We start from the raw sequence: 25,473 nt of genomic DNA on the forward strand, positions 1-25,473 counted from the left end.
GCTGGACAACTGGGCACTGGCAGGAGGAAAAAGAGCAGAGGAAATTGGAGCCAAGGATCACAGACCAGCTCTGGTGTCGAACTTTTAGTATTAGAAGGCCTAGTGGTAGTTTAAGTGCAAAGAATTATTAAAATTAGTAATGAGAGAAAAATCAGACAATTTCATGAATGAAAATAGGCATAAATAGGCCGGGCGCGGTGGCTCATGCCTGTAATCCCAGCGCTTTGGGAGGCCAAGGCGGGCGGATCACCTGAGGTCAGGAATTCGAGACCAGCCTGGCCAACATGGTGAAACCCTGTCCTCTACTAAAAATACAAAAATTAGCCGGGCATGGTGGCATGTGCCTGTAATCTCAGCTACCATGGAGGCTGAGGCAGGAGAATCGCTGGAACCCGGGAGTCAGAGGCTGCAGTAAGCCGAAATCACACCACTGCACTCCAGCCTGGGTGACAGAGCAAGACTCCGTCTCAAAAAAAAAAAAAAAAAAAAAAGGAAAAAGAAAAAGAAAATAGGCATAAATAATAGATATTTTAAATTTTTACTGAGAAAGATCATTAAACTCCAGATGGTCTGCCAAAAAAGATTTGTTGGTGGTGTACTTTGAGTTTATGGCCAGTAATGAGTACACTGATAAAGTCTACTGGCACATTATTTACTCATTTTCTCATCAGCCTTGAAATTGGGACACTGAGATAATGGTGATGAGACATTTTTCTTCAATAAATTCAGAAAGGTTCATTTGTTTTAGAGAAAAGGTTTGGTAGGTTTTATACCCGTGTCTTATATTATTATTATTTTCTATGTTTATTTTTTCTTTATGAGCATAAGGGACCCAGTGATTCATTCTTCAACAAATACTTACTGAACATCTATTACAAACCAAGCACTGTTCTAGGTGCTGAAGGCTGAGTTAGGAAAAAACAGCAGAAAAGACAGTCAATATTTTTTAAATCAAATTTTTAACAGCATGGGATGGAGTTTGAAGAAAAACAAAGTACGAGACGAGAGTGGTGAAGATCCCATTTTAGGTACAGTCAACAAGAGAGTCAATGGTATACTGGCGACAGTTCATCCTTATTCATGACAGCACACTCTTCAATTTTTAGGAATTGTGAGAGCAGGATGTTAAACACAGATATTAATAGGGTTTGGATCTTTGTCCCCGCCCAAATCTCATGTCAAATTGTAATCCCCAATGTTAAAGGTGAGGCCTGGTGGGAGGTGATTGGATCATGGTGAGGGGGGTGGATTTCCCCCTTGGTACTGTCCTCACAACAGTGAGTGTGTTCTCAGGAGATCTGGTTGTTTAAAAGTGTGTGGCACTTCCCCACTCTCTCTTCCTCCTGCTCAGCCCTTGTGAAGTGCCGGCTCCCTCTTCACCTTCCATCATTGTAAGTTTCCTGAGGTCCCCTCAGAAGCTGAGCAGGTGCTAGCATCATGCTTCCTTTAGAGCCTGCGGGACGTGAGCCACTTTTCATCATAAATTACCCAGTCTCAGGTATTTCTTTACAGCAGTGTGAGAACAATCTAATACTGCCATTATTGAAAATTAAATTATATAAACTTCAAAGTCAACATATTATATTAAAAACAAAGGTAATAAATACTCAAACTCAGCATCCTCTATGTAGATTACTGACTATTACCATGATCTATGCCCTTTAAGTTATTTACATCTATGATACCTGTGTACTGGAAATATTATATAATGGTGTGCTGCTCCAATGTCTTCCCAACTCTGTGTTCAGTGATATCACATTGTAGCTTTAAATCGGCTATGACGGATGTATTTACACCATGGAAATTGGCAAACACTATAAGTCAGGGCTTTTTATCCCAGGGAGCCAGATTTTAAACATTTACCAGCATTTTACGGAAGAGAGATCTTTCTGACGAGCTAGTATTTGAGCAGAAGCCTGAATTAAATGTGGGAATATCTGGGGGAGGGCAATGCAGATATAGGCCTTAGACCAGCACTTGCTTGACATGTTCGAGGATCAGCCCAGAGAACAGCATGGCTCTAGGTAGGTGAAGACAAATAAGATACCATTTCTGTCCTCCAGGAAGTCAGTTCAGTGAGGGAGAGACCATAAACAGAAAATGATAATGAAATGAGCTTACAGAAAAGGCAGAAGGGAGTGGAACATGCTAAAGAACACCAGAGATTGGCCAGGTGTGGTGGTTCACACCTGTGATCCCAGCACTTTGGAAGGCCGAAGTGGGCGAATCACTTGAGGTCAGGAGTTTGAGATCAGCCTGGCCAACATGGTGAAACATCATCTCTACTAAAAGAATAAACAAAAAAATTAGCCGGGCATGGTGGTGTGTGCCTGTAATCCCAGCTACTCGGGAAGCTGAGGCAGGGGAATCGCTTGAACCCGGGAGGCGGAGGTTGCAGTGAGCTGAGATCACATCACTGCACTCCAGCTCGGGTGACAGAGCAAGACTCTCTATCAAAAAAAAAAAAAAAAAAAAAAAAAAAAAAAAACACCAGAGATGCAATCAGCAAAATCCAGGCTGGGAAACCCTATAGGACAGACAATCTAGTTTCTTCAACAAATCAACTGCAAGGAAATTGAGGCAGAATCTGTAAAATAAAAGAGACCTCAAAGACATATGAAGCCATGGGAAGATTATTTGGCGCCTGATTCAAGCAAACTGCAAAAAAATTATAAAATTAAGATTTAGGCCCTCTCCCTCTCCCTCTCCCTCTCCCCACAGTCTCCCTCTCCCTCTCTTTCCACGGTCTCCCTCTGATGCCGAGCCGAAGCTGGACTGTACTGCTGCCATCTCCGCTCACTGCAACCTCCCTGCCTGATTCTCCTGCCTCAGCCTGCCGAGTGCCTGCGATTGCAGGTGCGTGCCACCACGCCTGACTGGTTTTCGTATTTTTTTGGTGGAGACAGGGTTTCGCTGTGTTGGCCGGGCTGGTCTCCAGCTCCTAACCGCGAGTGATCTGCCAGCCTCGGCCTCCCGAGGTGCCAGGATTGCAGACAGAGTCTCCTTCACTCAGTGCTCAATGGTGCCCAGGCTGGAGTGCAGTGGCATGATCTCGACTCGCTACAACCTCCACCTCCCAGCCGCCTGTCTTGGCCTCCCAAAGTGCCGAGATTGCAGCCTCTGCCCGGCCGCCACCCCGTCTGGGAAGTGAGGAGCATCTCTGCCTGGCCGCCCATTGTCTGGGATGTGAGGAGCCCCTCTGCCCGGCTGCCCAGTCTGGGAAGTGAGGAGCGCCTCTTCCCAGCCGCCATCCCGTCTAGGAAGTGAGCAGCGTCTCTGCCCGGCTGCCCATCATCTGAGATGTGGAGAGCGCCTCTGCCCCGCCACCCTGAGAAGTGAGGAGCCCCTCCGCCCGGCAGCCGCCCCGTCTGAGAAGTGAGGAGCCCCTCCGCCCGGCAGCCGCCCCATCTGAGAAGTGAGGAGCCCCTCTGCCCAGCAGCCGCCCCCGCCCGGGAAGTGAGGAGGTCTCCGCCAGGCAGCCGCCCCGTCCTGGAGGTGGGGGGCAGCCCCCCCCCCCCCCGACCAGCCGCCCCGTCCGGGAGGGAGGGAGGCGGGGGGGCAGCCCCCGCCCAGCTGCCGCCCCGTCCGGGAGGTGGGGGCACCTCTGCCCAGCCGCCCCTACTGGGAAGTGAGGAGCCCCTCTGCCCTGCCACCACCCCGTCTGGGAGGTGTACCCAACAGCTCATTGAGAACGGGCCATGATGACGATGGCGGTTTTGTCGAATAGAAAAGGGGGAAATGTGGGGAAAAGATAGAGAAATCAGATTGTTGCTGTGTCTGTGTAGAAAGAAGTAGACATAGGAGACTCCATTTTGTTCTGTACTAAGAAAAATTCTTCTGCCTTGGGATCCTGTTGATCTGTGACCTTACCCCCAACCCAACCCTGTGCTCTCTGAAACATGTGCTGTGTCCACTCAGGGATAAATGGATTAAGGGCGGTGCAAGATGTGCTTTGTTAAACAGATGCTTGAAGGCAGCATGCTCGTTAAGAGTCATCACCACTCCCTAATCTCAAGTACCCAGGGACACAAACACTGCGGAAGGCCGCAGGGTCCTCTGCCTAGGAAAACCAGAGACCTTTGTTCACTTGTTTATCTGCTGACCTTCCCTCCACTATTGTCCTATGACCCTGCCAAATCCCCCTCTGCGAGAAACACCCAAGAATGATCAATAAAAAAAAAAAGAAAAAAAAAAAAGATTTAGCCTTTCTGCCAGAACCGCCATCTTCCAGTAATTCACCAAAATGACGAACACAAAGGGAAAGAGGAGAGGCACCCGATATATGTTCTCCAGGCCTTTTAGAAAACATGGAGTTGTTCCTTTGGCCACGTATATGCAAATCTATAAGAAAGGTGATATTGTAGACATCAAGGGAATGGGTACTGTTCGAAAAGGAATGCCCCGCAAGTGTTACCATGGCAAAACTGGAGGAGTCTACAGTGTTACCCAGCATGCTGTTGGCATTGTTGTAAACAAACAAGGACAAGATTCTTGCCAAGAGAATTAACGTGCGTATTGAGCACATTAAGCACTCTAAGAGCCGAGATAGCTTCCTGAAACGCATGAAGGAAAATGATCAGAAAAAGAAGGAAGCCAAAGAGAAAGGTACCTGGGTTCAACTAAAGCACCAGCCTGCTCCACCCAGAGAAGCACACTTTGTGAGAACCAATGGGAAGGAGCCTGAGCTGCTGGAACCTACTCCCTATGAATTCATGCCATAATAGGTGTTTAAAAAAAATAATAATAAAGGACCTCTGGGCTGTAAAAAAAAAAAAAAAAAAAAGATGTAAGTTAAAAGTATAATTAATATAAATTATAGATATGTGGAAATTTAAACATTAAAGGGACATTTGATGGTATTTAAAAATTACTACTTTAATTTGTAAAATTTTAGGTGAGATAATGGTTTTGTGGTTATTTTCAAATGTTTTTATGTTTCAGAGATACATACCAAAATATGTATAAGTGAAATGATATGATATCTGGTATCTTCCTCCAACTAACACAGGAAGGGGAAGTGGCTGGATGAAACAAGATTGGCCATGAATTGATCATTGTTGAGCTGCGTGGTGGTTACATAAGGATCAATTTTGTAAATAATTAAAACTCCATAATAAAAAGTTTTGTAAGAACTTTTTCTGGACTGGATACAAAAGGACTGACAGAATTGCTGACAAGGTATTTGAGGGCATTGGGAAGACTTCCAAGGAAATTGGGACACTCATGTGAAAGCGTTCCTAGGCAGCAAGAGAGCATGAACAAACAAATTAAGTTATTTTAAGCATCACCTAACATCATCGATATCAAACATGGTTAGTATTTGTTTTTCATCAAGAGCAGGCTATTATCACATGGAAACAGGTTGCCAGAGTTCATGGAACTTCCTTTGAAATGGATATGTGTAGAAATGGGCTGAGTGAAACAGGAGAGGGACTGAACGTTTGACTGGGATATCAGGAGATCCAGAGTGACAATCCTGGCTCTGTCATTAACCAGTCGTATGTCTTGGAGAAAGGCTCTTAAATTTCGAGTGTCTCCATTTCCTTGTTTACAAAACAAGAAGGCCTGACTTATTCCCTGAGAACCCTTCTTCAATCTACTATTCTATGTGGGTTTCCACAGACATAAAATGATAATGGTGGGGTCATATGTAAGAAATTATCAACCTCAGGTCTCTGCAGCATCACTGTCAGAACCTCCAATGTCAGCATCTTTGCTACAGGCAACCCCAGAAAAGTCCCTGACATAACCGTCTGCTTCACATGAGAAGCAGATGGAAGGAATAGAGTGTGACTGCGTGCATTGTTTTTCAACGCAGTAATTAAAATCTTGGTGCCCTTCTCAGTAAGATAAGAGAATTTATTTACATTTGGCAACTTACTAGTTAAAAGTTCCTCTCTACTTGGAAACTACACTTGCTTTATTTCCTTGTTTCCATAAAGGAATATTGAAAAATCTGCTTCTTGGTGTCTCAAATGAAGTTAAAATATTTCTGATTGGATATCATCTTGGGCCCACAATTTCTAATAAAATAAAAGGTGCCTGGCCAGGTGTGGTGGCTCACGCCTGTAATACCAGCACTTTGGAGGGCCGAGGTGGGTAGATCATGAGGTCACGAGTTCAAGACCAGCCTGGCCAACATAGTGAAACCCCGTCTCTACTAAAAATACAAAAATTAGCTGGGTGTGGTGGCACACACCTGTAGTCCCAGCTACTCAGGAGGCTGAGGTAGGAGAATCACTTGAACCCAGGAGGCAGAGGTCGCAGTGAGCCAAGATCACGCCATTGCATTCCAGCCTGGGTAACAGAATGAGACTCCATCTCAAAGAAAAAAAAAAGGTGCCAAAATAACTTCCTTAGACACCACTCCCCACATGTTTTGAACCATAGTAGAGACTCAGCTGCAACCATCCCTATCACGGAAGGACAGATGTGAACTCTGAGGCCCAGAACTGCTGGATATTTAGAGACCCACCAGCTCCCGTCCTACCTTGGCAGAAGGCTGGAGGCTGCACAGACTCATCTGGGAAAACTGGCATTTGAGATAAAAACAAGGGTGAGTGAGATCTGCCTGGGTCTGTGATTCTCCATGTCCTGCAATTTTTTCCAGAGCATGACTGAGAAGAAGGTTTATCTGGTGCAGAGAAAAGAGATAGCCTGAGTGTGGTGGACCTGCAGACCACCTAACATTTGGGGAAACTGAGGCAGACTGTCCTTCTCTTCTTCTCTGTGCTCCAGCCTCTCAGGTTTTGCAGTCAGGGGAAGGACCACACTCTCACATTAACTACATCCTTCCCTCACATCTCTCTTAAGCTTCCAGTGCTCAGGCAAGCTTCCTGACTGAGGTGGCCTCTGTTAACCTGCAGCCTCATGACATCTCTCTGCTTTCCTTCCAGCATTTTATCAGTTTGTAATTACGTATTAACTGCCGTGATTACATGATTAGTATGCCTTTCCCATGACACTAAACAGATATTACAGATCCTGGATATATATTTTTTCTTTTTAAAATTGAAGAACACACTAGCCGGGCGCGGTGGCTCATCCCTGTAATCCCAACACTTTGGGAGGCTGAAGTGGGCAGATCACTTGAGGTCAGGAGTTCATGACCAGCCTGGCCAACATGGCGAAATCCGTTCTCTACTAAAAATACAAAAAAAAAAAAAAAAAGTCTGGGCCTGGTGGCTCACACATATAATCCCAGCTACTCAGGAGGCTGAGGCAGGATAATCACTTGAACCCAGGAGATGGAGGTTGCAGTGAGCTGAGATCCCACCATTGCACTCCAGCCTGGGTGACAGAGCAAGACTGTGTCTCAAATAAATAAATAAATAAATAAGCCGGGCATGGTGGCACGCCCCTGTAATCCCAGCTACTCAGGAGGCTGAGGCATGAGAATCTCTTGAACCCAGGAGGCAGAGGTTACAGTGAGCCGAGATCACACCACTGCACTCCAGCCTGGGTGACAGAGCGACACTGTGTCTCAAAAAATAATAATAAAATAAAGTTGAAGAACATACGGAAAATGCACAACTCATAAGATTGCAGCTTAGTGAATATTACAAAGTCAACACACCTGTTGACCATCGTCCAGGTCAAGAAACAGAACAGTCCCGGAACCCCAGAAGGCACTTTCCCTCCTTCCCAAAGCTACCACTCTGCTGACATCCATAGGTTAGTTTTGCCTCCTTTTTAGTTTTTAATCTTAAAACTTAAAAAAAAGAGATATAACTTACATACAGTGAATTTTACCCTTTATATCGTACAGTTCTATAAGTTTTGATAAAAGTAAACCCCAAACTCAATCAAGATACGGAACAGTTCCACAACTCCCTCAAATTCCCTTGTGCCCTAGGTAGTCAACCCCTCCCCCAACCCCCAGCTCTTGAAAATCACTGATTTGTTTCCTTTACCTATAATTTTATATATTTCAGTGTTTTTTTTTTTTTTTTTTTCAGGGTCTCCCTCTGTCTCCCAGGCTGGAGAACAGTGGCACAATCAGGGCTCACTGCAGCCTCGACCTCCCAGGCTCAAGCGATCCTCCCTCCTCAGGACTCCCTCCAGCTCCCCCACCACGAAATAGCTGGGACTACAGATGAATGATGCAGTATTTTGGGGTGACGGGGTATGGGGGTGGGTGTTTGAACTCTGTCACTCAGTGTTTGTGAGATTCATTCATGATGTTGTGTATAACAGTAGTTCACCTGCATTGCTCTATCAATGTGCCATGATTTATTTATATGAATTGGTATGGATATACTACCAAGTATTTATCCATTGTATTGTCGATGGTCATCTGGGTTGTTTCCAGTTTGAGGCTTTTACAAATAATGCTGCTAGAAATATTCTTGCCCGTGCTTTTTTATGCTTATGGGTATGCATCTTCTTTATGGCTTGGTGATACCAGCGTCAGGAAGATGTGCTCCTATGTTAGTTTCCCTAAGTTTCACGCTACTATGGAAAGAGACCACCATTTCTGCTGTCCTTCCCAGCTTCTCCCCCACCTCCCCTTTTCCCTAGTTTATAAGACAGGAGAAAAGAGAGAAAGCAAAAAGTTGGAAAAAAACAGAAGTAAGATAAATAGCTAGACGACCTTGGCGCCACCACCTGGCCCTGGTGGTTAAAATAATAATAATAATATTAACCCCTGACCAAAACTACTGGCGTTATCCGTAAATTCCAGACATCGTATGAGAAAGCACTGTAAAACTTCTTGTTCTGTTAGCTGATGTATGTAGCCCCCAGTCACGTTCCTCACGCTTACTTGATCTATCATGACCCTTTCACGTAGACAGACCCCTTAGCGTTGTAAGCCCTTAAAATGGCTAGGAATTTCTTTTTCAGGGAGCTCGGCTCTTAAGACGCGAGTCTGCCGACGCTCCCGGCCGAATAAAAACCTCTTCCTTCTTTAATCCGGTGTCTGAGGAGTTTTGTCTGCGGCTCCTCCTGCTACACTACCTTTCGCACTTAGAGATACAATTGATCTGGAGTTCAGAGCTGTGTGTGATGGGAGGTAGGGGGCCAAGTTCCCTTTTTTCTTTTCCCTACGTGGATATCCCTTTGACCGAGCACCATTAACCAAAAATAGTTCCTTCCTGTGCTCTGCAGCCCCGCCTCTGAAATAAATTGTCCATACACGTGTATTTTTGTTTCTGGTCTCTATCTTATGTTCCACTGGTCTTCCTACTTTGCTTTTCTTTTTCAAGATTTTTTTCTGGCTGTTCTTGACCCTCTGAGTTTCTACATAGTCTTCAGGCCCCTATCTGGGTGCACTTCCTGGTATCCCAGCATCTGACATGTGCCTGGCGCGCAGCAGGAACTCACGGCTGGCTGTAGCCTGGATGCATCAGAGACGATGGCAAACCCTTCTCACACGTGCCAGGTTCCAGCAACCCACCCTAGCCCCGCAATTCCTCCTCGCTCACTCCCACCCCCTGCAGCGCACCCGCAAACGGCAAGGAGGCGTGCCCGCCGCGGCGCGCGTCACTTTCCCCCGGACCGACTGGCTCCGCCGCGGCTCTCCCCGCCCCCGCCTCCGCCTCCACGTCTTGGGGCCGGGCCGGAAGGCAGATCTCACCGCCTGCTTCCCTCTGCAGCGGTAGCACAAGCTCAGCGATGGCGGCTCCAGAAGGCAGCGGTCTAGGCGAGGACGCCCGGCTGGACCAGGAGACCGCCCAGTGGCTGCGCTGGGACAAGGTGAGGGGCACCAGCAGGCGGGGAGCGCCTGGAGCGGGGCCGGGTGCTCTGCCCTCTCCAGGCGCGGCGCTGCTTGCTCTGCCTGAGCTGCCTTCCCGCCCAGTGCATCCCGCTTCTCCCCCGGGAAGACCCAGGAGCGTACGGCCGCTGCTAGGCTTCCTTCGACCTGGCCGGCATGCGGCACGTTCAGAGTTAGGCCGGGAAGGCTTGTCCCCGGACGAAACCAGCCATCCGGCCGGCCGGACTGCAAGTTCGGAGTAGAGGAGCGAGCCAGGGTGGTGTAAGCGCGGCCAGACCCTGGACGCTGTCTAGTTGAGGGGCGCACGCCTTACTGTCACTCAGACCGCTGGCTCGTCGTCGGTAGTCGGCTGTGCATCCCCATGGACCCAGAATCGCTCCGTCCCGCGTATTCCTTTGGCCGCTGAGACCTTTGCAGAGCAGCGTTCTGGTCCGGTCCTCCCATCCCGAGGGCTTGGTTACAAACGTGGGTTGTCCTCCCGGGTGGGCCCGCCTGGCTTCAGGAGTCCCCCTTAGAACTTTGACTGCCAGGGAGGCACACCTGGGACACAGCACGGTTTTCTCTCTCTTCATTCCGTTTCTTAGAATCAGGAACCCAGCTCTGGACATCACTCCCTCTCCTCTCTATAAACTTGCGTCTCGCCCTTTCGACCTGTTCTGCTTGCTGTTAGGTTTTCTCGGAATGTCCCTCGCTGCTCTCCTGCTGAACTTGTTTCTCCCGTTGTGACTCATATTTTGTGCCTGAACTTAAATGTGGCTTACGTAGAGAGTCAGTCCTTCCTTGGCTCCGAAGCGTTAAATTATTTATCCCTAATATTCACTCTAAACAGTCTGTTATTTTCCTTTATAGCTCTTACTACAAATGGTAAAAACAAAAAACTCCAAAAACACTTGTTTGTAGGTTTGTTTAATGTCTGTCTCCAGGGCCGACTTCAGGGGCGAGAGACCCCTGCAGTCTCACAGGACTCGCGCTCCTTGAAGGGCCCACTGTTGTTTTAATGTCCTGCTGTCCTGTCTTGAAAGTCTTACTGGTAAAACAAGAGGTCACCCACTTTCATTGTGCACTGGACCTCCATAAATTATGTGGCCAGGCCTCTCTATTCTCACTACCTTGGTTTGTAGTGCCTGGCATAGGCATAGTGCATGACACATAGTAGGTCACTGAAATACTTGAATGAACAAAGAAGATTACAAGGTCAGTAGGGGTCAGGTCTTTGTCTTTATTTACCATTCTCTGGCCCCTACAAATAAAATGTCAGCAAATCCCATTTCCAGGATGCTATTGGCAACTCCTTGGGGGCGTTTTTCTTTTCCTGGGAAGATAACCTTGTGATTCACAAGGGAAGAAAAATGTTTCCATTTCTGATAACTTGTAGCTTGCAGAGTACAGAATTCTTTTGAAGTCAGAGTTCATAATGCACTTTCTCTAAGAAGAAGAAGAAAACAATCTAATTTCTACACAGTGTTGCATCTGTGTATAGAAAAATTGTATTTCTCTGGGTAGAGATGAGATGTCCTTTTTTTTTTTTAATCACTTCTCATGTTCTATCCTCTGTTAATTTCTTCTTTGCTTTGAGACTGGCACCTGAGAAGAAGCCCATTCATTCTCCAGTGAACCTCCCACCAGCTAAAAGCATTGCAGCCCTCTAGTCAGACTACCCCCGGCGACTGGCAAGGCGCCCTGGCAGGTGCCCTCTGTCTTTCCACCGTGCCTTCATCCCTGCTCTTTTCTCTGCTGTCAGTTTTGCTCACTGCCAGGGCTGATTCTGATCCTGCTGTACTCTTGACTTGTCATTCTTACCTGTCTGTCTCCTTTGTTTCTCTCAGGCTACTTAGTCTTTCATAGATATCAAAGACCAATTAAGATTTTCCAGACCTACACTATGAACAAGGGAGGATCACTCGATATTGAGTGTGGCAGTGAAGTCCATGTTTTCTGATTCACTCCACTAATATTTATTGAGGCTCTTTTATGAGCCTCTTTTATGTACCTGATCTGAGCCTTTCTTTGGGGCACCTGACAATCTGATAGGTAAGACTGTGTTCTGTAATTAGCATCTGCTGTTTTTCACCAAAAAAGATGGGGTTTACTTGATTCCCATTGAATCTGCCACAATCTGGAAATGTGGGCTTAATTCCAGAAAGCCAAGGTTTTATTGCAGTAGTATTTCAAAGTTTAATTAAATGGCCACGTCCTGCGTGAGTGCTCATCTAAATGGATAATGACTGTAAAACAGGAATATAAAGTCCTTCCTCTGTTGTTTTCCTGAATTCATAACTTAAAAGTCTCATATGAAACTAATGTGATTGTCATTATTTTTCTCCAACCATAACATTTTCTGCAACTACCATACAAAAAAAAAATAGGGCAATGTATAATGAACTTAAATGAATCATGTTAGCGTCTATTTGAAGCAGTTAATGTTATAGAAAAGGCACTAGATTAATGTTTATCTTGCAATTTAAGCAAGTCACCCAATCTCTGAGGCTTCCCCATCTATAAAATTGGGTTTCTGTTATTTGTCTACTTCTTGGAGATGTTACAATATTCAAACTTGACCAGGTATGTGAATGCCTGGTATGAATTATAAAACATTACAAAAGTAAGGTTTTGACTTAAGTTGTGTAATCTATCACTCTGGAAAATTTGAGGGCATTAGGGAAAAAAATGGACATTTAATCACAACTAAATGCCAGGTAGAGAAAGATATTTTACATTAATTTGAAGTAAACCACCTTAAAACCTTAAAAATCGTGTAAGGGAGGTTCTAGATTATTCCCATTTTGCAAATAGGGAAACAGAATTTGAGAACTGGAATAATCTGCGCAAGCACCTAGAGTTGGCAAGTGGTATTCTGGGATTCCATTCTGGGGGTTAGACTCATATGCTAAAATCTCTACTTTGATTTCTCCAAAGGTGCTTACCTTGACAGGAAAGAAAAGAACACTTACATTATAATGTCAAACTGACTTCATATTTCAGATTTCAAAAGCATCAGAAAATTGAAAGGTCTACATATATATATATACATATATATATATTTTCTATAGATTAGAATGATTGTGAATTTTTTTACATTTCTGATTTTTCATTCACTTGTCTGGCTGTGTCTATACATTTTTGTTTTTCAGAATTCCTTAACTTTGGAGGCAGTGAAACGACTAATAGCAGAAGGTAATAAAGAAGAACTACGAAAATGTTTTGGGGCCCGAATGGAGTTTGGGACAGCTGGCCTCCGAGCTGCTATGGGACCTGGAATTTCTCGTATGAATGACTTGACCATCATCCAGACTACACAGGTACCATGTTTTTTATAATTCTTAGTAACTCAATGTATCCCCTAGCTCATTTTCTATTTGGCAGACCTAATTTATTCTAATTATAGACATGTCTTACCAGCTTGGCTAGACACAGGAAGTCACCACCATTTACTCCATAAAGTAAGGCTTGCACAATAGGTCGAAGTAGCACTTATTCAGGACTCATATAGCCATCCATCCATTCATTCATTCATTTAACACACTTATTGAGTACATACCATGTGCCAGCACTGGGGATATAAGAATGACTCGAACAAACAGATTCTCTCATGGAGCTTTCATTCCAGTATAAATGCACCAACTAAGCTGACAACTTTTAAGGTCCTGTAATTTTTGCCATGATTACATAGCAAGTGCTAAAAAGCTTTTCTAACTGCCGGAGTTACCAAGAGCCTGTTCTCCTTTGTTTTATAGTATGGATTGAGTCTGTCTTAATTTGTGAATATTTTTGTCAGAATCTAGACCCAGCTTTTAGGAAGGAGATAATTTGACAAAACAGAAGTGCTTCTACTGGGTATTGGCAGTACTGTTTATGAGGGAAATGAAATAGAACAGATTATTCACATCAGTATTTCTTCACCTTAGACCTGTTGATGATGAATGTCACTTTAATTGTGGGAAAAGAAAGGCTAGAAAAAATTGCCTAATAGTGATTACATGTGCCTCACGTATACATCCCAGTGTAAAAGGCAGAGCTGGGCATGTTGTAACAAAACTCCAACAAGGAAAGCTTATCTAAGGGTATAGAATTACCACAGGGGCCAGGCGCGATGGCTCACACCTGTAATCCCAGCACTTTGGGAGGCTGAGCCAGGCAGATCACTTGAGCCTAGGAGTTCATGACCAGCCTGAGCAACATGGTGAAACCCTGTCTCTACCAAAAATACAAAAATTAGCCAGGCGTGGTGGTGTGCACCTGTAATTCCAGCTTCTTGGGAGGCTGAGACAGAAGGATTGTTTGAACCCGGAAGGCAAGGTCGTAGTGAGCCGACATTGTGCCACTGGACTCCAGCCTGGGCAACAGAGCAAGACTCTGTCTCAAAAAAAAAAAAAAAAAAAAAGAATTGCCATGGGAACTCCTGGTCACAAATTGTTATTAAGCAATAGGGCTCCCTGAGATGCTGGAGGAAAGACTTAGAATGGGGTAAGTATGGGAATCCTGTTTGGTTCATGGATAACATAGGAACTGTGCTGCTGAATAAGGTTGCCTTCTGTACCAGTTACTAGGGCTATGTAACAAATCATTGAAAACATAATGGTTTAAAACAACAACCACATTTATTTTGCTCACAAATCTGCAATTTTGGTAGAACTCAGTGGGGACAGCTTGTCTCTGCTCCACTCAGCACCATCTGGGCCAGTTTGGAGGTTGGAATCATTTGAAGGCACCTTCATTCACACGTCTGAAATTATTACTGGCTATTGGCTGGGATCTTAGCTGGGGTTGGAACCCCTTCATGTGGCCTGGACTTCCTTATAACATGGTGGTTGGCTTTCAGTGAAGTATCCAGAGAGGGAGAGAGAGAGAATGTGCCAATTGGAAGCTGTGCTGACTTTTATGACGTAGCTTTGAAAGTCACACAGTGTCACTTCTACCGTATTCGGTTTGTTAAAAGTGAGTCAATAAGGCTGTCTCATATTCAAGGAGAGGGCACATAGATACCCACTTCTCATTAAAGGAGCATTGATGTCACATTGTAAGAGGAACATGTGAGATGGCTTATATTACTGGGGCCATCTTTGGACAATCCAGTTGGTTACACCTGCCATTGGGCCTAATTGTTAGGGGTTTCTAAGGGATTCTAGATTAACCTAGAGCTTTTTCCCCTGTATTTTTCTATATCTAGTTTCTGAGAATAATGAAATGTATTCCCATTAAGGACTATCTTACCCATTTTTATCCTAGAATTCATCTCCTCTGGGGGTAAACCCTGTGGTAAACATAGATGATCAATATTCTAAAGGTCATGTAATTCAACCAGACACCCCTTGGGATAATTTTCTCCATGACCCCACCACTCTGAAGTGCTCATTCAGCCTATTCTTGGATACTTGTAATAGGAGACAGAGATGTGAAGAGTTAAGAAAGTTTTATCTGAGCAGCAAGTATATCTTTAAAATCTTAGGAGTGGATTCAAAATTAGAGGCAAGAGGATTCCCAGAACAAACAACCCAGGTTTCTACCCAGTCTTGGGTAGTGTTCCCTGGCAGAATGCTGATATGCAAATATATTTGTCACTTTTCACTGATCAGACTTTCATGGTGGCATAGGTGCCCTTCCTGCTGGTCTCTGGGTGTGGAGCCTCATTCTGAGGTACCCCAAAGTTTGCCTGGTTCATTTAAGAAGCAGATGTATGTGATTCAAAAATATGTCAAAGGAAACAGGACAGAGACTGGAGGAAACTTTTGTATTGTTTGCCTCATTGATAGAGGTTATAATTTCCTCCTGCCAATTAATTTATGCTTTATTTATGTTCTATTTTGGGTTCTGTGTTCATAGATTATTTAATTTAGCCATAGCATACCAGTGATGGGAAACTCACTGTCCTCTGAAAGAGGCCATTCTATCTTTGGACCATTCTCATTAAAAGATGGTTTCATTATTTTAAGCCAAAATCTGCCTTTCTGTAGACTTTACATATTGGTCTTAGTTCTACTTTTTGAAGGTCATACACATAAACTTGCTTCTTATGTTTTATAATAACATTTTATTTCTGAAAACCTCCCTCTTCCCCCACTGAGTCTTTCATCTAGAATAAGAATTCCCTTTTCCCTTGGCCATTCTTTCAGGTCCTCATCCTCAGCAGGCCTCCGAGATTTTTAGAGAATCTGGAGATGTGAATGCTTTTTTGCCCCATGGAGCATTGGGGCCACAGCTCAAGGGTTGAGCAGGAAGAGGGGTACTGTCACTGTTGTAAGTCTTGAAGTATCAGGCATCTGGGTACCTTCTGGGGAACCCACAAAACCAATACACATGGCCTTATTTCCTTGTATCACTCAGCCTCAGAAGATAATCCCAGTGCAATGTATTTGTCAAGGAAAAGCTAAAGGCATTCTAAATTAGCTTGGCTCTCGCAACAAGACTGTGATGTATCCCCTCCTACCCAAAATAAAAATTATGGCTTGGACATGGTGGCTCATGCCTGTAATCCGAGCACTTTAGGAGGCCAAGGCAGGAGGATTGCTTGAGCCCACAAGATTGAAACCAGCCTGGGCAATATGGCAAGATCCCATCTCTACAAAAATTGTTTTTTAAAAATTAGCCAGACATGGTAGCATGTGCCTGTAGTCCCAGCACCTCAGGAGGCTGAGGTGAGAGGATTACTTGAGCCTGAGAGATTGAGGCTGCAGTGAACCATGATCGTGTCACTGCACTCCAGCATGGGAGAGAGTGAGACCCCATCTCAAAAGAAAAAGAGTTATGTATATTTTAATAAGACTTCCTTTAGCAAAAGTGAAATAAATAATATAAAATGAATCATTATTTTTGCCCAATCAACCAGAGTTCTCTTTGTTTTATATGGCTTTGAAGGAAAATAACAACAAAAATAATGCGTAAAACAGCAAACACTTAATATAGTACTTAGTTGGTGTTGAATTCTCAGCACTTTGCATGTTTTCATTCATTTACTCCTTATGAGGTAGGTATTATTGTTATTCCTGTTTTACAGAAGAGGAAACTAAGGCACCAAGAAATTAAGGAACTTGTCATTTGCTTGTAGGTGGCAGCGTGGAGTACAAATTCTCAGATTGTGCTTCTAGAGTATGTGCTTTTAAGCCCTACACTGAACTACCTCTCACCAGCCCTGGATACAAATCCAGGCTCTGCTACTCGAATATCTGAAACTGTCACTGTGCCTCTCTGAGGCTTATTTTACCCATCTATAAAATGGGTTTTCTGGTCAGGTGCAGTGGCCCACACCTGTAATCCCAGCATTTTGGGAGGTCAAGACAGGAGGATTATTTGACAGTAGTTCAAGACCAACCTGGGCAACATTGCAAGACCCTGTCTCTACAAAAAATTTTTAAAAATTAGTTGGGCCTGGTAGCATGCACCTGTGGTCCTAGCTTCTCAGGAGGCTGAGGTAGGGGGGGATTGCTTAAACCCAGGAATTCAAGGTTGCAGTGAACTATGATTGTGCCATTGCAACTCCAGCCTAGGCAACAGAGCAAGACCCTGTCTCTGGAAAAAAAAAAAAATTTCCTAACAAAGTTGATCTGAGGTTAGAGATAACAGCTACTAAGTGATCAATGACTAACACAGTGCCCAATACAAAAACATAGATAATAAACAAAGCTGTTATTTTATTATTGTTCAGTTTGCTTCCTTACTGAGATGAATTTTTCCCTCTCTCCCATAGTGTTCTATGAAATTTGAGAAAACTTAATTTTTGGCTAATTTTTCTATATGGTATATATAAAAATATGTTAAAACATACTTTTTAAATCTATGGTGTATTTGTAGGGATTTTGCAGATACCTGGAAAAACAATTCAGTGACTTAAAGCAGAAAGGCATCGTGATCAGTTTTGACGCCCGAGCTCATCCATCCAGTGGGGGTAGCAGCAGAAGGTATTTAAACATTTTTACAAAATGATGTTTTTATAATTTATTTTGCAGTTTTATTTTAATCACCATCTCAATAACTTGACTTTAATATATTCATTAGCCTCATTGCTTAACTGTAAAAACAATGGGTAAATTCTCTTGGCAACTTTTAAAGATTCTGGTTTTACATTAGGTTAAGGAAATAAAATTATTTAGACAATTTAGAATGTAATACCTAGCTAAAAGAAAGAAATTTCTTAAACTGGCAATATTATTTTTCCCTCTCATTTGCCTTTTTATACATAATTTTTACCCTGCTATTCATAAACCTCATGACCCCCTTCCCTCTCTTGAACGCCCACGTCAAGCTGCATTTCTGAAACATTCTCAAACCAATGGGACTCTCTTATGTAGCTGAAGGCATATGATGCTGATGGTGACAATGATAATAGTAATAGCAGCAATCATTTGAGTGCTGATTATGAACCAGACACTTATGTATTTACTCATTCTATCCTCACAGCAACGTGTAAGGTATGTACTTTTATCTCTTTACCCTGAGATTATAATGTGAAAGGAGGAGTCGCAATTTAAGCCTAAGGACACTAGTACCAGGGGTCAGCAAACTTTTTCTCTAAAGGGCAAATAGTGGATATCATACACATTGCATATCACATGATTCCCATCACCACTACTCACCTCTCCCATGAAGCAGAGAAACATCCATCGACAATGCATAAACACAGGAGCATGGCAGTGTTCCAGTAAAACTTTACTTACAAAATGGGCTGTAGTTACCAACCCCTGCCCGTAACCATGTTACATAACCCTCTTTTTTACTTGAACACTTCCTCTGTTATGATGAATTTTTAATCATTCTAGAGTATCAGTATTAGTAGTAGCTTAGAATTACACATATTGAATATTAATGAAAAGTCTTATTAGCTTTACAGAGCTGGATGAGTTTATAGAGTCCTATCTTTGCCCATCAGGAGCTTCCAATCTAAGACAGAAGCACTCGTGGGGACAAACGTGTGGCCGTGAGGAAGGGTGCATAGCCGGGGAAAATCACCCGGTGGCATCAGCCCCAGGTTCAACTCAGGAGGGCATAAGATTTTTAGTCTTTAGCTTTGCAGCTCAAAAATGTGCTTTTTGTCAATAAAGCAAGAGAAAAGTTATAGCTCTGGGGGATAGATGCACATGAACTACATTCACAAGAGAATGATGTGGTATAAACCAGCATATCAGCTTGTCATTTACAGTTAGTGGATGTACAATCAGAACTAAATCGTGACCGTGTTCCTCTGCCGCCCCAGGGCAAGTCAGATCCTTTGCTCAGAGCATGCAAAGTGCACGTATGTGGCTAAGTCTGTCTGCTGAGCTGCGTAAATTTCTTCATTTTGGGCTGACTGCCCTGCTTCTGGTTGATACAACCTTCAGAGATATGTTAACATTATCAATTAAGGTACAGATTTTTTTGCCCTGGCCTTGGAGCCGTATCATTTCCTTAAAGTGAGTGATGTTACTGATTTAAGCTTATGGTTCAAGTCTCAGAGTTTGATGGGATGGGATGGAGTGGAACTCAAGGCTACTCTCTATCACCTGTAACGCGTGAGACATTTAGAGATCATAATGTAAGTGTTTAACCAACACATGGTAAAATATTCATGATGAGTGAATGGAATCTTCGTAAGGAGTTGGAAACTATTGCAGTTTCTGAATTTCGCCCGAGGAGATGTTTATCCTTTAATCTTCCAATTTTAAATATCTGGTGGGGAACGTAAGCAGTAACTGTTAAGTATATGCAGAGAACGCATTGCATTTTTTTGTGCACATTTGTAACAGAGAGAGAGAGTGGCGATCTGCTCTTTGTGCCCCAGCCAGCCTTCAGAATAGTGTCGGCGAAGCTAGTGCCCAAGAAGTATTTGGGGAGAGTAAGAATGATCTGATTGTTTAACTCACAGGGGTGGTATAATGTTGTTCATTCTAAGTAAATCGCTCATTTATTTGTGGTAACGTATTTTACACCAGCTTGAAGGAAGATTTGATGCCATTTTCTGCGTCTTACCCTAAGCAAGTTTCTGTGGAAGTTGAGAAAAATGTCAAAGAATTAAGTTTTCTTTCAAAGGCTGATTGGAACCAAGATGTATATATGTGTATGGGTGTGTGTGTGTGTGTGTGTATACACACATGCGTACTCCAGGATGTCTTTATATTTCAAATAAAGCAATCTCTAATCAAATTCCAGTCTGTGTGGTGTACGCTGGATTGTGATAGGCTTAGGCTGGGATTTTCAGCCTCTGCACTGTTGACATGTGACTGCACAGTGGCTGGATGATCTTTTGTTGTGGTTGTAGGGTACATTGTAAGGTGTTCAGCAGCACCCCTGACCTCTCCCTACTAGCTGCCAGTAGCAACTCTCTCCATTTCCCAGCATGACAAGCAAAAATGTTTCGAGACATTTCAGATGCCTGGAAGGAGAAGGTGCAGACTTGCCCTGGCTGAGAACCACTGAGATAGACAGAGAGCTGAAAGGCCAGGAAGCAGCCTGGCTCTGCCACTAAGTGGCTGTTAGAACCGGGGAAAGGGGCCTGACCTTTCTTGGCTTTAGTGCCATTTCTATAAAACAAAAGAGTGAAATGAGATGACTCCTGAGAGTCCTCCAGCTTTACTGTCCCATGCCAGGGTAAAGATTATAATAAATGCTGTCCTTGATCTGGATGCTGCATTCACCCTAAAGAACATTCAGCATTCATTTCCTTCTTTCCATCACTCACAGTCCTGATCACTCAACTCTCCTTTTCTTCCCTGTCACTCTGCATTCTCAGGTTTGCCCGACTTGCTGCAACCACATTTATCAGTCAGGGGATTCCTGTGTACCTCTTTTCTGATATAACGCCAACCCCCTTTGTGGTAAGTAGCCATTTCCTTTCATAATTTCCTGTCACATGATCAGGGATGGGACTTGGCTGAATTTTATAGTCTTTAGGGCTATTGGGATTGGACTGTTTGAATGACAGAGGAGTTCCTTGGCATGTATGAGACATTTCCTTCTCTCCTGGAATGTTTCTCCCACATCTTAGTAATATTTCTCTGGTATTCAACTTTTGATTCATTGGAATTGGTTTTTTTAAATTGCAGTTTTCCTTTTCTTTGCATTCTAAGGGTATTCGAGAGAGTCAGCAAATTTTTTTTTTTGAGACAGAGTCTCGCTCTGTTGCCCAGGCTGGAGTGCAATGGTACGATCTTGGCTCACTGCAACCTCCGTGTCCCGGGTTCAAGCAATTCTACTACCTCAGCCTCCCAAGTAGCTGGTATTACAGGTGCCTGCCATCACTCCCAGCTAATTTTTGCATTTTTAGTAGCGACGAGGTTTCACCACGTTGGCCACGCTAGTCTCGAACTCCTGGCCTCAGGTGATCCACCCAGCTTGGCCTCCGGAAGTGCTGGGATTACAGGCATGAGCCACCACGCCCGGCCTTTTCTCTGTTTTTAAATTTGGTTTGTAGTTCTTTTTCTCAGCTATCACAATTAGGAAACTTCTTGTGTCGAAATCTGAATTCACCTCAAACCCTGTCTTGTCATGAATATTTTTGACAAGCTGGCACACCCCTGTTTTATACAAATGTTTTATTCTAAATACTATTCATGGCTAGTACAGAGAGCATGCTCGGCATATTTGAGTAAGACTTTCATCAAATCCTTCATGTAGCACAATCTAAAGAAGAAGACAGTAGGGACTATGACAGTTGTTGCTTTGACATAGACAAAACTTTTAAGAGCTGGGCCAGATGCTGAGAATATGTTTTGGAAAATGTGATTTGGATGCAGTTAGTCACATCTAGTAGAAATGAGACTGTATTGCTACAGAAGGAGGTTCCAATTCATTTTGTGTTTGCCGGCTCTAGTGCACTGACAGGTAGATGCAGCACCCCTAGGCTGTAAATAACCTGCTAGACACTCTATTCACATCTAAATGTAGTTCAGGTTTCATTGTTTGATGGAAAAATTGTCATGTATTCAAGCATCCTAATTACCTTCTGTACTAAGTGTTAATAGCTATTAATTTTATGTCAGACATGAATTGAACCAGTGTATCATGATCCTCTGCCCACACTGAGGAGTCGTCCTCCCCTTTTCTTTGGCCCAGAACACCTGAGAGATGTGACATAACTTCCAGGGTGTTCAATGACTGCAGTGATTCTTGGTGAAAGGGTGGAGGGGACGGACAATTTAAATCTCAGGTTGCCTGTGTGTAATCAATGTCATTTGCCACAGTAGGGGGAATAATCCAACCCCTTCTCCCATTTTGGGAAGTAGTAGAGATGGGAGCTAAGTTGAAATATAAATATTTAACCCTGGAGTGAGAGATAAATGAGGAACCTGTAAGAGCATTCTCCATTCCCTCAAATTTTTTTTTTTTTTTTTTTTTTTTGAGACAGAGTTTCGCTCTTGTCTCCCAGGCTGGAGTGCAATGGCAGGATCTTGGCTCACTGCAACCTCTGCCTCCCAGGTTCAAGTGATTCTTCTGCCTCAGCCTCCCAAGTAGCTGAGATTACAGGCGCCCATGCCTGGCTAATTTTTTTGTATTTTTAGTAGAGACAGGGTTTCACCATGTTGGCCAGGCTGGTCTTGAACTCCTGACCTCAAGTGATCCACCTGTCTTGGCCTCTCAAAGTGGTGGGATTACAGGCGTGAGACACCACCCCTGGCCCCTCAGTGTTTTCCTCAATGTTTTCCTTAAAAGCAAATGAGAAAGGAGGAGAGGGAGAAGCAGTTGGAGGGAGTAAACTGAATCCACAAACTTCTGTCTCAGGTAGAAGCATTGAAAGCATTGGAATGGAGGCTTAGACCATCGTTGTGTTTGAAGAATTTTCTAGCTCTACCAAGTAGAAGATGGAATGAGAAGGCACTGAGGAAATTACTCACCTTTCTTATTAGGAAATACATCCTGGAATTATGAGCAGCCAGTTAATTCTAAGGGTAATTGCATACTGCTGGGGTGTGGCTCAAAAATATTATGCTATTTATATATTATGTTTATTAAAAGGGAGCAAGTTGGCATGAACAGTATAAAATAGACATTTTAAGAATATCTGGTTATTTTCGTTAAAAACTGTTTGTTCTTGTTTCCTGCTATGTTACAGCCCTTCACAGTATCACATTTGAAACTTTGTGCTGGAATCATGATAACTGCATCTCACAATCCAAAGCAGGATAATGGTTATAAGGTATTTTCCTTTTTCTACTCCACACGTACATCCTTCTGTAGGAATCCTGTATCTGTAATTTTTGGGACCATAGGTAATAGGTGCCTTATTTCCATTAACTGTAAACCTTCTGAATGTGTTCCTGGGTCCTCTAGGTCTATTGGGATAATGGAGCTCAGATCATTTCTCCTCACGATAAAGGGATTTCTCAAGCTATTGAAGAAAATCTAGAACCGTGGCCTCAAGCTTGGGACGATTCTTTAATTGATAGCAGTCCACTTCTCCACAATCCGAGTGCTTCCATCAATAATGACTACTTTGAAGACCTTAAAAAGTACTGTTTCCACAGGTAAATGAATTGTGTCTTCACTGACCTTAAGTGAGTTAATGTGATTCAGCCAAATTCTATTAGTGTTTGTGAAGTTTTTCTCTTTAATTTGCTCATGTACTACAGCTGCATCTGATTTTATTTTATTTTATTTACTTATTTTGAGACAGGGTCTCACTGTGTCACCCAGGCTGGAGTGCAGTGGCACGATTTGGCTCACTACAACCTCTGCCTTCTGGGTTCAAGCGATTCTTGTGCCTCAGCCTCCCAAGTAGCTGGTATCACAGGCGTGAGCCACTGCACCCAGCTAATTTTTTTGTATTTTTAGTAGAGACAAGGTGTTGGCATGTTGGCCAGGCTAGTCTTGAACTCCTGGCCTCAAGTGATCCACCCACCTTGGCCTCCCAAAGTGCTGAGATTACAGGTATGAGCCACCACGCCCACCCAGCTGCATCTGATTTTAGAGGCTGTAGATCAAGCCTTGGCAAACTTTTCTTAAAGGGACAGATAGTAAATATTTTTGGCTTTGAGGTCCACACAGACTCTTTCTCAGCTACTCAACTCTGCTGTTTTAGTACAAAAGCCATCATAGATGAAATGTCGGCGAAGGAGTGCAGACAGAAGTGGGTGGCTTGCCCATAGGCCATAGTTTGCTGACCTGTTATAGATTCCATACATGTATGTGATTCATACATATTCATACATGTAAGTGTGTGTGTGTGTGTGTATATATATATATATATATGTATGTTTTTAAAACTTGCTCAAAAGTCTTGAATAGCAAACACTGGTATTTTTCTATCTTTCCAAAAATTTTCTGTGCATATGCAAGCGTATATATATATATATATATATATATATATGTGTGTGTGTGTGTTTGTATATGTATAATATACTTCAAAACCATAAATAGGAATATTTGTGTGTGTGTGTGTGTGTGTGTGTGTGTGGTTTGTTCTGTGCACTTTTCCCCCCAATTAATTTGTCATGGACACCTTCCTGTGTTAGTCCCTATTAGTCCTGACTTTCTGTCTTAAAGGCTGCTGCACCGGTGTATTTAACTCAGTGACACAGACTCAGTCCTTACCATCAGGTAGGAAGAGGTGTAGCAGAGTGACAGTAGTGTCTGCTTGAGTATGCTGTAGGTCCCACCCCTCCTGATTGTCCCCCTAGCAAGAAACCACTGATTCAAAGAAACTGAACTTGTAGGTTTGTCTTTGATACTGTATTTGTTGGATCAGCTGATGGTGCCCACTCCAGTGCAGAGTATGAAAGCCCAGTCCTGCCTGAAGGGAGCAGCCGTGCCAGCTGAGTGTTGCCCACATGAAAATATAGGTCCCAGTTGCCAGATCATCTGAGTTCTCCTCTTCCCAAAATAACTGGAAACCTGGATTTTGTGTGTGAAATCTCCTAATTCCTACGTGTTGGACCATTTTTTCCAATGGTGTGTAGTCCAGACAAAATACGTCTGTGAACTTTCCCTCTGCCCCTCTGATTTAACTTCACGAAGAATGAGGCATTTCTGCTTTTCCACTCCAGGTAGCTTGGGAGTTAACTCCCCTTGTGCACAGTTGCTTGAGTATGTGTGTGGGTGTGTGCGCGCGTGCATGCACGTGCATGTGTGTGCGCATGTGTATCCGTAAGGTAACTTTCTGGCATCAAAATTGTATGTGCATTCACAAAGTTGATAGTGCTTAGCAAATTGACCTCCAAAAATATACCAGTTGGTGCTCCCACCAACAGTAGATGTTGACAGCATATGATACCTACATTTCCTCCTGCTCTGTGATCCAATTTCTCATTTTTCCTGATTTGCTAGTTGAAAGTAATAGCTCACTTTTATTTGTATTCTTTAATTAACCTATATTTTCTATGTGTTTGTTCACCTTTTATATTTATAAACATCTTTGTTTATAATATATATACATATATACATATTATATATACATATATGCATATACTATATATATAAAATATATTTTTTAGATGTTTTCTGTTGTCTTTGGAATTTTCTATTGAAACTGTTTGCTGAACTGTTTAAAAATCTGTATAATATTTATTAGTCTTATTTTATAGCTTCTGGGTTTTATGTCATGCTTAGGAAGACATGCTCTATAGCAAAATTATTAAAGTAATAGCAAAATATTTCCCTTGTTCTTTCTCTAGAACTATCATGTTTGTGTTTTATAATATTTAAATCTTTTGTTTCATTAGTGATTTTTAATTTTATATGGGGCATGAAGTAGGAAAGCAGATTAGATTTTTTTCTAAAAGGTTTGCAGTTGTACCAACATCAATGGAAGAATCTTTCTTTTTTTTCTTTTTTGACTAATTGGAAAGGTCACCTTTATG

The 25,473-nt window shown here is 43.1% G+C and overlaps 1 protein-coding gene and 1 pseudogene across 2 annotated transcripts in view, besides 5 other annotated features; both read left to right on the plus strand.

Annotated features, from left to right (window-relative positions):
• Window positions 4,204-4,761, plus strand: RPL21P45 (ribosomal protein L21 pseudogene 45; annotated as a pseudogene).
• Window positions 8,038-8,207: an enhancer, noted in NCBI's record as "experimental_79175 CRE fragment used in MPRA reporter constructs". NCBI's record gives its function as "activates a minimal promoter by MPRAs in K562 erythroleukemia cells, with activity observed for the non-introgressed 4:37826862 variant allele {active_cell/tissue: K562}" and the evidence as "EXISTENCE:reporter gene assay evidence [ECO:0000049][PMID:34662402]".
• Window positions 9,240-9,741: an enhancer, noted in NCBI's record as "H3K27ac hESC enhancer chr4:37827979-37828480 (GRCh37/hg19 assembly coordinates)". NCBI's record gives its function as "activates a minimal SCP1, AML or CMV promoter by ChIP-STARR-seq in naive and primed H9 embryonic stem cells {active_cell/tissue: H9 hESC(naive and primed)}" and the evidence as "EXISTENCE:reporter gene assay evidence [ECO:0000049][PMID:30033119]".
• Window positions 9,240-9,751: a biological region, named in NCBI's record as "H3K27ac hESC enhancer GRCh37_chr4:37827979-37828480".
• Window positions 9,452-9,751: a silencer, noted in NCBI's record as "silent region_15350". NCBI's record gives its function as "represses an Ori minimal core promoter by ATAC-STARR-seq in GM12878 lymphoblastoid cells {active_cell/tissue: GM12878}" and the evidence as "EXISTENCE:reporter gene assay evidence [ECO:0000049][PMID:35858748]".
• The window catches only part of PGM2 (phosphoglucomutase 2), a 36,252-nt gene continuing 20,347 nt past the window's right edge, over window positions 9,569-25,473 (plus strand). Inside the window, exons 1-6 of one of the 2 annotated variants that reach the window (NM_018290.4) lie at window positions 9,569-9,696; window positions 12,847-13,014; window positions 17,501-17,607; window positions 20,412-20,496; window positions 22,731-22,814; window positions 22,949-23,142. In NM_018290.4, coding sequence (NP_060760.2) covers window positions 9,616-9,696; window positions 12,847-13,014; window positions 17,501-17,607; window positions 20,412-20,496; window positions 22,731-22,814; window positions 22,949-23,142 — 719 coding nt within the window. In that variant the 5' untranslated portion in view covers window positions 9,569-9,615. Of the gene's footprint in view, window positions 9,697-12,846; window positions 13,015-17,500; window positions 17,608-20,411; window positions 20,497-22,455; window positions 22,567-22,730; window positions 22,815-22,948; window positions 23,143-25,473 lie in introns of those variants that run through there. The other variant, XM_047415895.1, reaches the window with a different exon arrangement.
• Window positions 9,742-10,241: an enhancer, noted in NCBI's record as "H3K27ac hESC enhancer chr4:37828481-37828980 (GRCh37/hg19 assembly coordinates)". NCBI's record gives its function as "activates a minimal SCP1, AML or CMV promoter by ChIP-STARR-seq in naive H9 embryonic stem cells {active_cell/tissue: H9 hESC(naive)}" and the evidence as "EXISTENCE:reporter gene assay evidence [ECO:0000049][PMID:30033119]".

This window comes from Homo sapiens, chromosome 4 (genome assembly GCF_000001405.40).
Source record: "Homo sapiens chromosome 4, GRCh38.p14 Primary Assembly".
Lineage (NCBI taxonomy): Eukaryota > Metazoa > Chordata > Mammalia > Primates > Hominidae > Homo > Homo sapiens.